Below are 14666 nucleotides of genomic sequence, written 5' to 3'. Positions count from 1 at the left end.
TTGTTATGTTGCCTAGGCTAGTGTCAAACTCCTCAGCATAAGCAATCCGCCTGCATCAGCCTCGGGAGTAGCTGGGATTACAGGCACGTGCCACAGGCCCCAGCTCTGGGTTCCCTTCTCTCAACCTGACACTGACCTAATGACAGCAGGTGACTCTGGTCACTACTGCATAGTACATAATCGCTCTCAGGTAAAAAAAAAAAAAAAGTATTATTAACTACTAAAATCTACTCTGTGCATCTATATTTTCAGAGATTTCTGCACAAAAGTGCAAAGGTGTAAGTGATACATTTTAGATTGAACCATGTGAAATTGACATTTTTGTAGTTTAAAAACAGTTGAATATCAGCAAGTTCACATGGTTCAACACATAGGCTACTGAGAGCAAAAGGAAGAATAAAAGATTAGATTAGATTTAGATTTGCTGAGGCTCCTTCATGGCCCTTTCAAATTGCTGAATGGTGTGCATCATGAGTAAATGGGCACAATTGTTCGTTGGAGCCACTGCTGTCCTTCACCAGAATGGTGGATAAATGACAATAGATGACTAAAACTGGAAGCAAATGTATGATAAATGCATCTGATAGCAATAACTTAGGCATACCCTTAGGATGACCCTGTATGGAAGATGGACCTGAATGTGTGTTCTGAGCTAGGGAATCCAGGAGTTGCCAGCCCAGAGTTCCTTCCTTGTCTACAAGGAACATCTGAGTCCCTGTCCCATTCCATAGAACACTGGCCATATAGGGGATCAAGGCCCCAAGTTTTAGGTTGAATGATGATTGCCAGGTGGAGGTTGTTAGTGGGAAGGCACTAAGTGGAAACACTATATAAACTGCATGCATTTTGCAAGCTGTTGTGGTTTTCCCACCTAGTCTGCCACCTCTGGGCCATGCAGTTATCTTGTCCAGCTCACCGCCACTGGACCGTATGTAAGGCAGTTCTCCTGCCCAGCTCACCACCACTAGACTCTCTCCCCGGTATGTAGCCCCCAGTAAAACCCCATGTCTCATTTGCTGGCTCTGGGTCTCTTCTTCAACCGCTTGAACATGGTGCCTACCCCACTGGAGTCCATAGAGGTTCAGCACAACAGCAAATGATCTAGAAATGTGGGGTCAACTAAACATTTTAGCCAAACATAGAGAAGAATAGATTGATGCGAGCTTCCTCAAATTGGTCTATGGAGGTGGTTTAATTCATGGATAAATAGTTCAAAGGAAGGTAGCAGAAAGAGAAAAAGATAAATCATGCCTGGGAAACTTTCAGACTGGATGACAAATGTTGAACAGAGACATCCAGCCTGCCTTCCTCTCATGCCTGCGGCTGCAGCATCTGTATAAATTACACATGTCATTTACAAATTATATTCCAGATAATCCACATGCAGATAAAACTTGAAAATTAAAGACTTAAAAGGCAAAATTGGACTGTTTTGCTCTGTCACTAACAAGAGTTATAATCACTGAATTTTACGTCTAGAAGTGAGAGACTACTTCTAGTCCAGGGATGACACATGAGTTGCAGTGTCTATGATGAGCTGGATTGCTGGTGCCTGCCTAGAGCACTGAATGGAGGTGTCTTAGGTCTTATTTGGGCTTGGCGGAAACAATCGCCATGGTCAGTTGGTTGTGTGTATCCCGGGCATGGGAGAACGGGTGGTCACACATGCACCACACATTTGTCATTCCTGACCTAGGCATGGAGCCCTCGAGGCCTCAGCTTGCTCATTTGTAGAAAAAGACACTTGAACTGGGCTATGTCTGAAAACCTTCCATGTCTAACACACTGTTGTTGTTTTTTTTCTGATTAGCTATATATGTGATATCTTTCCTGATATTCTGTCGCAGATTCCTGGTTGCCCAAAATTTTTATTACAACGAGACAGCAGCAACAATCCAATGATAGCGGCCCTTTTCTTTACTTCTTCACGTTCTGAGCTACCTCTCCTGTCTCCTCCGACCTCAGCTGAGATTCACTCTATCACGTTGTTTCAGTCATGCGATAATGATAGGTGCTCCATATCATGCCCTTAAATGATATCTCACAAAACTTTGTCACATCCCCTTCTCTCTGAATTTGCTCCAGAAAATTAAACATCATTTCATTTGAGAATCGGGCCACCGATGAGTGTACAAACATCATTCCCATTATTTTGGAAGTGACTACTTTCAAGTCACTGAAGAAACTAGATGGGACATGTGTGAAGACTTTATGTCTCTGAAACACATAATTTTGATTAGCTTCTTCCACAGAGACATGGCAAAAGTAATGATGACAGCAGCTGCTAGTTGTTGAGTCCCCTGATGCATCAGGTCCTTAGGAACATAAACTCAATTCTTACAACTACCCCTGAAGTTGAGTGTTTGTCCTGGATAGCCCATGCATGATATATGTTGAGATCCACCATACCTAAAATCCCTGTATCAGTCAGTCAAGCTTCCATCATGTAAGACCTGTTTCACTGAAAGGGTTCACTAACAAGAGTGGCAGGAAGGGATTATTTACAAAACTATGGTCGGAATTAAGGGAACCAACTAGGGATGGTGAAGCACCCAGCGTCCAGCAGAAGTGGGAAGCCATTACCACCTGTAGGGCTGGAGAAAAGAGCTGCTACTAAAATGCCAGAGAGTTGTAGCCAAGGTGGGGATGCTGATTAATAGAGGCTGTGGACCCTGCCAAAACCATGGCCACATGGTAAGGGACAGATGAAGAATACATACCCCAACTTCTCTCTCCTTCATCATCTGATCGCCTTCCAATGCTTCCCATTGGCCACACCTAATGGGAACAAGACAGCACAGGCAATGCAGTCTGTCGCCCAGGCTGGAGTGCAGAGGCGCGATCTCGGCTCACTGCAAGCTCCGCCTCCCGGGTTCACACCATTCTCCTGCCTCAGCCTCCCGAGTAGCTGGGACTACAGGTGCCCACCACCATGCCCAGCTAATTTTTTGTAATTTTAGTAGAGACGGGGTTTCACCGTGTTAGCCAGGATGGTCTCGGCCTCCTGACCTCGTGATCCGCCAGCCTCAGCCTCCCAAAGTGCTGGGATTACAGACGTGAGCCACTGCGCCCGGCCCAACATGGCTTTTTTCTTCTTTCTACCACTCTTTCCCTGTCTCTGTCTTTCATTTAAACCTCACCAACAGAGAGAATACCATTGAGTCAGGAGGTGACCACCCATTAGGGACCCTCCACTGGTTAGAGTGCTCATTTTAGGCTTCCTCAGAGCTAGCTCAGCCCATGGATGGTTGCATTTGATTCAGGATCCCTGGAACCATCTGCAAAGGCAAGGCCAATAGGGTCATATGACATTAAACACAGCTATGTTGCTCAGTAAGGGACTGTCCTTGGTAAGCTCCACCTGCCCCTTCAGATCCATTCTCCACTCTTCTCTGCCCTGCTATGTACCCTGAAGGCTGAGCTCTATAAACTGCATTGCCTGTGCTGTCTTGTTCCCATTAGGTGTGGCCAATGGGAAGCATTGGAAGGCGATCAGATGATGAAGGAGAGAGAAGTTGGGGTATGTATTCTTCATCTGTCCCTTACCATGTGGCCATGGTTTTGGCAGGGTCCACAGCCTCTATTAATCAGCATCCCCACCTTGGCTACAACTCTCTGGCATTTTAGTAGCAGCTCTTTTCTCCAGCCCTACAGGTGGTAATGGCTTCCCACTTCTGCTGGACGCTGGGTGCTTCACCATCCCTAGTTGGTTCCCTTAATTCCGACCATAGTTTTGTAAATAATCCCTTCCTGCCACTCTTGTTAGTGAACCCTTTCAGTGAAACAGGTCTTACATGATGGAAGCTTGACTGACTGATACAGGGATTTTAGGTATGGTGGATCTCAAAAAAAAAAAAAAAAAAAAAAAAAAAGCTGTGTTGGCAGAGTAGAAACAGACATAAAGAGGGAAGATGAGACAGGAAGAAACTCTACCATGAATATGGTGGCAGAGCTTCTTAGGAAGGTTCTGCTGCATCCTGTGTAGTGATCACTTGCTACGTTTCCTTAAGTGCCTGCATTCCTTTTAGTAATCCCTGATCTCCAGGGTAACCTGAGCCTGCCTTTGATCCTTACAACCTGAAAGGTTGCAACCAGCAAAGTGCAATTACTTTGATACTACAGTTGAGCTAATTGAAAAAGAAGAATTAAGAATATACCCTAGGTGACACAGAAAATAAGTTCCCACAAAGGAATCTAAACCTGGTTCCATCTGTCACAAGCCCATGGGCTCTCCACAGAGCACAGTGCCTGTTGCAGCCCAAGACAGAGTTACCCCGATAACAGAATTCAAGGACAGTTCTCTGATTTTTCCAAGAAAATCCTCCAATGATTGCAGAATTTCCACCACTAAGAGCTGATAAATGTGTCCATGTCTTCTTTTTTTTTTTTTTTTTTTTTTTGGCCGAGCACTCAGTCTTTTCAGAGCCATTCATAATGGTCTGCATAACACAGGGATGTTAAGAGCACCATCTCAGAGCTGTTGGCAGATGTTCCTGGCTAAAATGACTTTCTGGAATGCAAGAGAAGGATATTTCACACCAGCTTCCACTTCCTTCCCTAGGTCCCTCGAGACCTGACTGTGACCAAGGCATGCTCAGAACAATATGTGACACAAACAATATTCGAACTTAGAAAGAACAGAAAGTATTTCAATTATATGCATAATAAAATATTGCATATTCCATTGCTTCAGCTGGTAGAAGTAATGGAACCATACTTGGTGATGTAAGTCATTGAGCTGTAATAGAGCAATTGGGAGATTTTGGTTGGCAGCTGAGGACTAGGAAATGTGTAGATAAGATGTCAAGATCTGCAAAAGGTTTTTAAGACCTCCTGCCTCATGGATGCTTATATTCTAAGACAGGGTAAACCTGTGTCCTGCAATCCCCAAATGAACCCCTTACAGTCTCGTCATTCATCTGAAGGGCAAGTCCATTTCCACAGGTCAAGCTAAAACCCAGGTCAAAACCCAGTCCATTTTCACAGGTTAAAGCTAAAAACCCTGTGTAGCAGTGGAAAAAGCTCTAGAATGTTTTTCCACATTCAAACGAGGGCTTCCTTATCAAGTTCATCAAAGCATTTTTTAAAAATATAAATGTCTCACCAATTTGCCCAGGAAGAATAAATCTTCACAGCCACCTCAAAGGCTTGACAACTTTATTTTCATTGTGTGGAGCTGGGTGGGTCCCCTGAACTGGGCTTCCTAAGGAGACCTACCCCTTCTCCGCAGTTTCCAGGCCTGCCACTCCAGTGAGAGCGATCAAAGGGGAAGGAAAGTCGAGCCGCTGAGCCTCAAGGAATAAAGCTAAAACAACAGATTTGTTCCTTGGCTTCTCTCTTAAATACGGGCAGAGTGTTTAAAGCCCTGTAAGGAAACGCTCTGGGGCCCTGGATATGAGAGAGGCACATCTAAACCCTTTCCCAAGAGGAAATCTCTCACCTCGGTGGGGTAAATTAGCTCATTAAGAGCAGCCAGAAGCAGGCAGGAAACCTGGGAAGTGGGAGCTTTAATTCAAAGCATAGAAAATTATAGATTTCTTTACACATTAAAAAAGCATTTATCTTGGCTGAAAATGAAACAACTTTTCAATGATCAACACATGGTTTAAATCTGCTTTACTAATTTATATCTCTCCACCCATCTGCCTAGTTGTTCAGCTACCAGGAAATTCAATTATATTGAATACATCTTCATTGAACACCTACTATGTGCCTGTGGTGCATTTATAAATTGTATAAACGCAAACAAAAAACAAAGGCAGGTGCCTTTCCTTTTGTTCAGGAGGTGATACTCACATGTATTAAAAATTGGAAGACATTTGCTTTTCACTTCTCAACAAGCACTTATTTTTTATATACCAGGCATTGAGCTCAGATGGGAACACCACAAAATGGAATGTCAAAAGGGCTGCCTTCAGTGGAATCAAGTGATAAGATGTATAGAAGGGGTAACAGGTAAAGCAAGGCAGGGGATTGAACTGTAGAGAGTGAAGTTTCTCCACAAGGTTTTCTAGAGGAAGCAGGACCTGAACTGATCTTGAAGTATACAATACAAGCAAAAGTGGTCCCTAGAGGATATGGCTTTAAGTCTTTTCTCTGCTGCTATAACCGCAGACAATTTCAGTTCTCTGGGCCTTAATTTCCCTCTTTAATATGAGCACATTTTACTAGAATTATTCATGTTGTTTTCTTTCTTTCTTCTTTCTTTCTTTCTTTCTTTCTTTCTTCCACTATTTGGGACCAATTATCCATTCCAGATAGTCCTGACTTTCTTTGATGAAACCTATGGGCCTTTCGTCAGACTGTTTTGGATATAAAAAACAAAATAGATAAGAATACAAAGGTAACCAATTATATTTTTAAAATACTTCTCAAACTACTTAAAACCAAAATTGTAGTTTAGTGTTAATGTATACCTTTATTAACACTTTGTAATGACTAGATCCAGGCTTAATAATCTGGAAATTGCATAGGCTTAATAACTACTGCAATTTCAAAGTATCAAGAAGTGTCAATGATATTTCAAGGTCTCTGTAATGTCTGTCCTATGATACGCAAGGATCTGTGATTTCAATTGGTGACAAAATCACAGATCCCACTAAAACTACATTTTGTTTCTTGCATTCATGATTGAAGGACATGCTAAGTTTCAATTAGAGATACCTTAAAATAAAGATATAACTTTTTCCATCCATGTTCACAGACCCTGTGTTAATTTTCTGTGGCTGCCATAAAAAGTTACCATAAACTTGGTGGCTTAAGATAATAGAGATTTATTCTCTCACAGTTCTGGAGGCTGGGAGTTCAAAATCAATGTGTTAGCATGACTTTCTTCCCTCCAGAGATGCCAGAAGAGAATCTGCTTCCCGCCTCTCACAGCTTCTGGGGGCTGCAGGCAGGCATTCCTTGGTTTATAGCCACATCTCTCTGGTCTCTGCCTCCAATTTCACATCACCTTCTTTTTTGTGTGTCAGTGTGTGCACACATGTGTGCACATGTGTATGTGTGCCTAATCTTTCTCTCCCTATCTCATGAGGACACTTGTGATGGCATTTAAAGCCCACCCAAATAATCCAGGATAAGCTGGTGCTCCAAAGATGTTTAACTTTTTCCCATATTTCTCCATATAAGGCAACGTGAACAGGTTCCGAGGATTAGGACGTGAGCACATCTTGGAAGAGTCATTTTTAAGCCTACCTTAGCCCCCCTGAATTCTACTCACACTTTGTAGAGATCTATGGACCCCAAATGAAGAACCCTTATATTTTACAGGGATTATATCAAGGTGCCCACAAGTACAAATATACCTATAAGACCAGATAATAGTAAGCGCCATACAGAAAACTAAAACCAGGTAAGAGAAAGAGACTAGGGAAAGAGGTGATAACTGAACAGGGTGAATGAAGCAAGAGACTGAGCCATTTGACTTCACTGCCGAAGAATATTCTAGGCAGAGAAAATAGCAAGTGCAAAGGTGTGCAGTTAGATGCATGCTTGGCATGTTTGAGAAGAGGCCAGAGGCCAGGGTGTATGTATGGATGAGCAAAGGGGTGAGTAGTAGGAGATGACATGTCAGAGGTAGTCCTCAGGCAGGTCATGATCCCCAAGGGATTTGTAGACCATGGGAGAATTTTGGGGTTTATATCAATGCTTTGCAAAGTCCCTTGATGGTCCAGAGAAGTGGAAAAACATAGTACAGTGTCTCTTCTAGAAGGATCGCCCTGGCTGCTTAGGGTGAGTTTGTGGCAGAGGGGGAAGACCAGGAGAGCAGGCAGGCCCATTGGACAACTACTGCCAGCAGGACAGGCAAGAAGTGCTGGTGGCCTGGACTAGGGTAAAGGGTGGAAAGGAAGAGAAAGAGTCAATGTGGGAATACATTTGGAAGGTAAGGACTTTTTAAGATGTCTGAGACCTCAAGAAAAGATTGGAAGAATGTGGATCAGTGGTATGGTAGGGAGAAGAAAGGATGTTTGACAAAAGGAACACGGGAGTGTCACCCCCGTTAAGCCTGCCCATATAGGCAGAAGTGGCAACGAGGGATTCAGCTGAGAATGAAGAAGCCCAGTGTGCCTCTTTGACTGCTGGATTGTGATCACACAGAACAAGGCACAGCACAGAGAAGACAGAACCAGGAGCTTGCACAGCAGAAAGAGAAGACTGATGCCCACCAAGGCAGAATTTGTTCTGTTGTGCCCCTTTCTTGACATGGAGCTTAAGACCTTATTTACTTGTCCTTTTCCATCTAGAAAGGTAAATCCTATAACAGCTGTCTTGCTTTCATTGCTTAAAATCACTTGAATAAAGGGATACATTGAAAATATATATATATATATATATATGGGAGGATAGATATATATATGGGAGGATATATATATATATGGGAGGATATATATATATATATGGGAGGACATATATATATATATATATGGGAGGATATATATATATATATATATATGGGAGGATATATATATATATATATATATATATGGGAGGATATATATATATATATATATATATGGGAGGATATATATATATATATTCAGAGGACATTGTGGGTTATGTCCCCCAAAAGTCCTAACCCCCAATACTTGTGACTGTGACCTCATTTGAAAATTAGATCTTTGCAGATATAATTGATTTAAAATGGAGTCACACTGGATTAAGTTGGGCTCTAATCCAAAGACTGATGTCCTTATAAGAAGAGAGAAATTTGGAGACAGTAACCCATACAGAGGGAAAACAGCCGTGTGACAATAAAGGAAGAAATTGGAGCAATTGGAGTCATACAGCTGCAAGCCAAGGAATACCAGGAATTCCCAGCAACCACGAGAAGCTAAGAAGAAGCAAGGATGGGTTTTTCCCTGAAGTCTTCCGAGGGAAAAATGGCCCTACTCACACTTTGATCTCAGACTTCTATCCTCTTGAACTGTAAGAAAATAGATTTGTGTTGTTTTAAGTCACCCAGGCTATGGAAATTAGCATGGCAGCCCTGGGAAACTAATGCAGAGAAATTGCATGAGAGAGAGAAAGTGACATGATGGCCAAGCTGTGGGACTTGAGACAGACTCCTGGTTCCCCTGCTTGTTTGCCACATTGCAATCCATTGCCCATCCATATTGATAGGAGGTGCACAAAGAAAAGTCTCTCTGTTCACATGCATCTCCTCTGACATAAACTGTCACCCCAAATTCCCATCATCCCTGCTTTGACCCAATGCATGTAAGAAAGGCCTCTGCTCTCCAGGAGGGGCTCAGACATGCATGACACCATGACAAATCCTTGTTGTTAGCTCCTTTTCACTTTTCAAGCCATCGAGGTTGGCTCTGGGGGAACAGGACACAGGATAGGTGAATTGCATTGAGAAAAGGTCAGAAAACCTGTGGAATGTGGGGAGTCGCAGGAGAAATTCCATAGTGGCAACTTCTTGGTATCTAATGATCTGTGTGGTAGCAGGATGAAGTGGGGGCGGGAATGAACTTAGATGACCATGATAAGGTGTGAACACAGTGGAAGGGCTCAGAGGAGGGTTGCCATTTAGCTCAGAGTAGAAACACTTGACAGCCCACTTGAGGCAGGTGTTGTCCCCTTATGTGGCCAGCTGACACAAGGCCAGGAGCAGGATTGGAAAGCTTGGGGCTTCATCTCAGCTCTGCTATTGGAAAGGATGGAGTTACTGAACACATTTAGTAGCATATATGTGGCCTCCCTTTTTAAATGCTTTTTAAGCATTTTTTAATCAATAATCCTTAGTCAAAATTAATTGTTGGATAGGGAAAAACAGAGGTTAGTGTGGCTGTCACCAGAGAAGGACCATCAAGATTACAAACTCCAACATTACTATTTTGATGTAGACCACTTTATAGATTGTGTCCCAAGGGCTTTGAGTTTTAAGGTTATCCCATTGCACTGAGGTCCACAAGGCCCACTAATTTACATTGCTTGAGCCTAATTTACATTCCTTATGCCTATTGAACTTGAGGCTCAATATTAGTCAAACTGGACTGATAAAGTATATTGGCATTTTTCTCCCTCACATCTAAAAAACAATTTAGGAAAATGAAGAAAAATAACATCTAGCATATTCAGTATGCTACTTTTTATATCAGTTTTCACGTATTAGCTCTAGGCAGAGAGCCCTTGTGGGTAATTATGTTTTAATATAGTACAAACCTCTTTAAAAATGATACCATGTGCAATTAGGAGTTCAAAATGACCTTGTTTGATGAAGTTTGATAAAATGTCTCTATTTGAGAAAATACTACAGCAGTCTTCAAGTGTAAGACCAGTGGGCCTCATGTTGCTTATGAAAATGCAATAGAATAGGCACATTGAAGTAAGATGTGCTTCACTCAGATGATTTAAATTATAGATAAACACCTCACATCTTCTGCCATGCTTTTGATTAAGCAAAATAAGGAGTGTGAGCAACTGACAAGTTGAAGGCACATGCCCCTCTCGTTCAACACTCTATCCAGTCTGCGGATGCCATTCCTACATATGAAATGAGTTCTAATCAAAGACATGCCCATTCCAATTTGAGAAAAACATCATGGTAGTTTATAGAAAACTTCCTTTCTGCACTGACCCACAACCTAAACAAAAGGTCAAAATCATTTAAGTTGTTTCAAAACGAACAGTTGTGATATAAGCCAGCAACGTGGTGTGGACGAAAGCCCACACAATTCCTTTGTAAGCTGCAGAGCTAAGTAAACACTATGAAAGCCTGCTATTGTTTACTCCGATACCTTAGTCAACACTTCGGAATCATTAGCTTTGGGCCCTTGGGTAAAGCTGTTTTTAAATTCTCCATTTCATAGTCAAGGTCAACTTCTACTATAGCCAGCAGACTCAGAACCCGAAGGCCACTTCTCTCCTCACATACACATATTCACTCTCACAGACATCAACAGAAGGGTCTCCTGAGACCCAGAGGCAGGGTGGTGGTTAGCTCCCTCTCTCCTCTTTTACCTTAAAGCTGAAATGCTAAGGAGTCAGAGTTTAGGTCTATCAAATACGGAAGCCACAAAGAAAGAAATAACACGTTTGAAGTGAACAGATGGATACCAAATTTGTTGGCCACAGAAATTTTAGCAGTGTCTAACAGTGTTAAATTATCTTCTCACCAAACCATCCAACTGAGATACAAAACCCTCGGCTTCAAGTATCACTCTTTATGGCCACAGATTATCAGTGGGATTTAAAAAAACCAATCATCATAACGCATAGCCCTCCCAGCCTCTGTATTTGCACAAAGACCATATACATAAAATACATAAATCTTGGTCTAGAAGGCAGGAGGCTTCAGTCCCAGTCATCCAGCCACTGACACTACCTAGTAGGATGACTCCTATGAATCACTGAAGCTCTCCAGAGATGTGTTTTCATTTCTTTTTTTAAAAAAAGGATAACTCAAAAAATGCTGAAGCTTTTTCTGTGATGTCTAATAACTAAATGACAGAATCTAACTGCATAAGTCCACAAGCACAGCAAGAAGAAACTGTAAACTTAAAATAAAATAAATTATCTGGAACAGTATTATCTTCAATTATGAAATACAGGACATTAATCATTTACACCACACCACTGGCAAAGAGAGGTAAATTAAATACTAAGGTGACTCTCTGGGCTGTGCCTAAGGTGCTGACCCAAGCAGCTAGGCTGGTACAATACCAGTGCTGACACTTAACTAGATATGTAGCCAAGACCAGCCAAACCCAAGATGCCTGGGATTAGGGAAGGGAGAGGGCACACATACAGAGCGAGTCTAGAAATTCTCCAAGGTCAAGACTCATGTCTCAGGACCTGTGACAGGGCAAAGAATACTGCAGTCAAGAGGTCCCTTCATTTTCCACAAGCTGGATTCATTTGCAAGTACACAGGAGCCATATACACAGAGGATTGGTGTCCTGCCCAGCCCGCAGAAGCCTCCTCAACACACAACACCCTCCCTGAAGCACAATAGTTATAGAATCACTTAAATGAGACTCAGACATCATATATAAAAATCCTTCCAATGATAACTATCTTCCAAGTACTAGGAAGAAAGCAATGCACACCTGCTCCACCCTGTCATCCCCCAGCCCCACCACCCCCCTCCCCCAACACACACAGAGCAGTTTCGGTCAGCTTTGACTGCTCATTCAGAATGACCACTAAGAGTTTAGCCAGCTCAGATAAAAGTAGTAACCCAGGGACTCTGCTGGCAAACCCTCAACGGGTAGAAATTCTGTGGATTAGTCAGTCATCTGCCAAACCATGGAATTCAGACACACTTTGTGGATCTGTTCCAAACATACAAGTTACAGCATGCTACTTACCCCGCTGAAAGGCATTGGAACAAATTCTTCTGATTGATTGATTGCCCAGTTGGTTCATTGGTTGGTTGGTGAGTGGGTTCATTGGTTCTTTTAAGGATTGGTTGCTTAGTTAAGCTGTTGTTTGGGTTTCTTATTTTGCTTGGCTTATTAAGAATTGACTAGACCATCTAATGTATAATGCTTCTAGAAAAGAACATAGAATAACATCTTCCTGAATTTGGAGTAAGCAAAGATTTCTTAGAAAGGGCCCAGAGGGCACTAAATATAAAAGAAAAAATGGTAAATTGGACCTCATTAAAATTAAAATTAAAATTCTCTGCTTATCAAAATACATCTAAGAGAATAGACAAGGAACAGATTAGGAGATAACTATATTTGAGAAAGAATGTCTATCCAGAACATATAAAGAATTCCTACAATTCTATAGAAAGAACGTCCATCCAGAACATATAAAGAATTCCTACAACTCTATAGTAAAAAGATAAGCAAACCAATTTTTGAAATGAACAGAAGACTTGACAGACACCTTATATATAAAGGTCATATATATATGACCAATAAGCACATGAAAAAGTGCTCAATATTATTACGATCAAGGAAATGCAAATTAAAACCACAATGAAATGCTATTTCACACCTATTAGCATGGCTAAAATGAAAAATATCAATGACACCAAAAGTTGGTGAGGCTGTAGACCAAATGGAACTTTCATACATTGATGATGAAAGTATAAATGATACCAACACTTTGGAAATTATGTGGCACTATTCACAATAGCAAAGACTGGGAACCAACCCAAATGTCCATCAGTGATAGACTGGATTAAGAAAACGTGGCACCTATACACCATGGAATACTATGCAGCCATAAAAAAGGGTGAGTTCATGTCCTTTGCAGGGACATGAATGAAGCTGGAAACCATCATTCTCAGCAAACTATCACAAGGACAGAAAACCAAACACCACATGTTCTCACTCATAGGTGGGAATTGAACAATGAGAACACTTGGACACAGGGTGGGGAATATCACACACCAGGGCCTGTCAGGTGGTAAGGGACTGGGGGAGGGATAGCATTAGGAGAAATACCTAATGTAAATGACGAGTTGATGGGTGCAGCAAACGAACATGGCACATGTATACCTATGTAATAAACTTGCACGTTGTGCACATGTACCCTAGAACTTAAAGTATAACAAAATAAATAAATAAATAAAAATATAGGGGGAAAAAAGACACTTTCTTTAAAATGTAAACATGCATTTACCCTGTGACCCATCAGTTCCATTCCTGGGTATTTATCCCAGCTTATAAAAAGACTTAAACAAAAATGTTCATAGCAGCTTTATAAACATAGCAGTGTTTATAATAGCTAAACACTGGAAACATCCAAGGTATGCACCCACAGGACAATGGAAAAACAAACTGTGGTATATTCATACAATGGAATAATATTCAACAATAAAAAGCAATAAATTATTGATACATGCAACAACACAAATGGATGGATCTCAGAAACAGTATGTCGAGTTAAAGAAGTTGGATGTAAAGATTTTACACCACATAATTCCAATTGTATGAAGCTCTAAAGGAGGTCGAATGAATCTATCATGATGGAAATCAAAATAGTAATTTCTTCTGGCAAGGGGAGGGAGACTGTCCAATGAGAAACCCAAAAGAACTTTCCAGAGTGATGGAATTGCTTTGTGGGTTACATGTGCATATGCGTTTGTCAAAAATAATTGAAATCACACTTAAGATTTGTGGATTTCACTGTAAGTAATTTATATATCAGTTGAAATATATGAAAAAAAGAACTGGCCATTGCAGGGAAACAGATGATGACGTAAAGATGAAATGACGATATTCCAATCCTCAAGGACTCTTCAATGATGGGGGAGACATCATTTCTCTGACAAGATCAAAGGGTGTAGGGGAGGAAAGGATGGAGTTACTGAACACATTTGACAGCGTATATGTGTCTCCCTTTCTAAAGCCCTGATGACTAAAAAGCATTTTTTAATAAATTGAATCATAATCCTTAGTCTAAATTAATTGTTGGATAGGGGAAAACAGAGGTTAGCATGGCTGTCACCAGACAATGAGCATCAGGATTACAAACTCTGGCTGGGCACGGTGGCTCACACCTGTAATCCCAGTGTCTGGGGAGGCCGAGGTGGGTGGAGCACCTGAGCTCAGAAGTTTGAGATCACCCTGGGCAACATGGTGAAACCCCGTTTCTACTAAAATACAAAAAAAATTAGCCGGGTGTGGTGGTGCACACCTGTAGTCCCAGCTACTCAGGAGGCTGAAGCACTAGAATGCCTGGAACCCAGGAGACAGAGGTTT

General features: G+C 41.6%; 1 long non-coding RNA gene across 1 annotated transcript in view; it reads right to left on the bottom strand.

The window, feature by feature from the left end:
- Positions 1-4366: 4366 nt before the first annotated feature.
- Positions 4367-14666, bottom strand: part of LOC107985398 (uncharacterized) — a 29940-nt gene continuing 19640 nt past the window's right edge. The window contains exon 2 of the long non-coding RNA XR_001754497.2: positions 4367-6302. This is a non-coding gene — a long non-coding RNA (uncharacterized LOC107985398). The remainder of the gene's footprint in view (positions 6303-14666) is intronic.

Source organism: Homo sapiens, chromosome 20 (genome assembly GCF_000001405.40).
Source record: "Homo sapiens chromosome 20, GRCh38.p14 Primary Assembly".
In the NCBI taxonomy this organism is placed as follows: Eukaryota; Metazoa; Chordata; class Mammalia; order Primates; family Hominidae; genus Homo; species Homo sapiens.
This window is presented reverse-complemented; position numbering and strand designations above follow the sequence as displayed.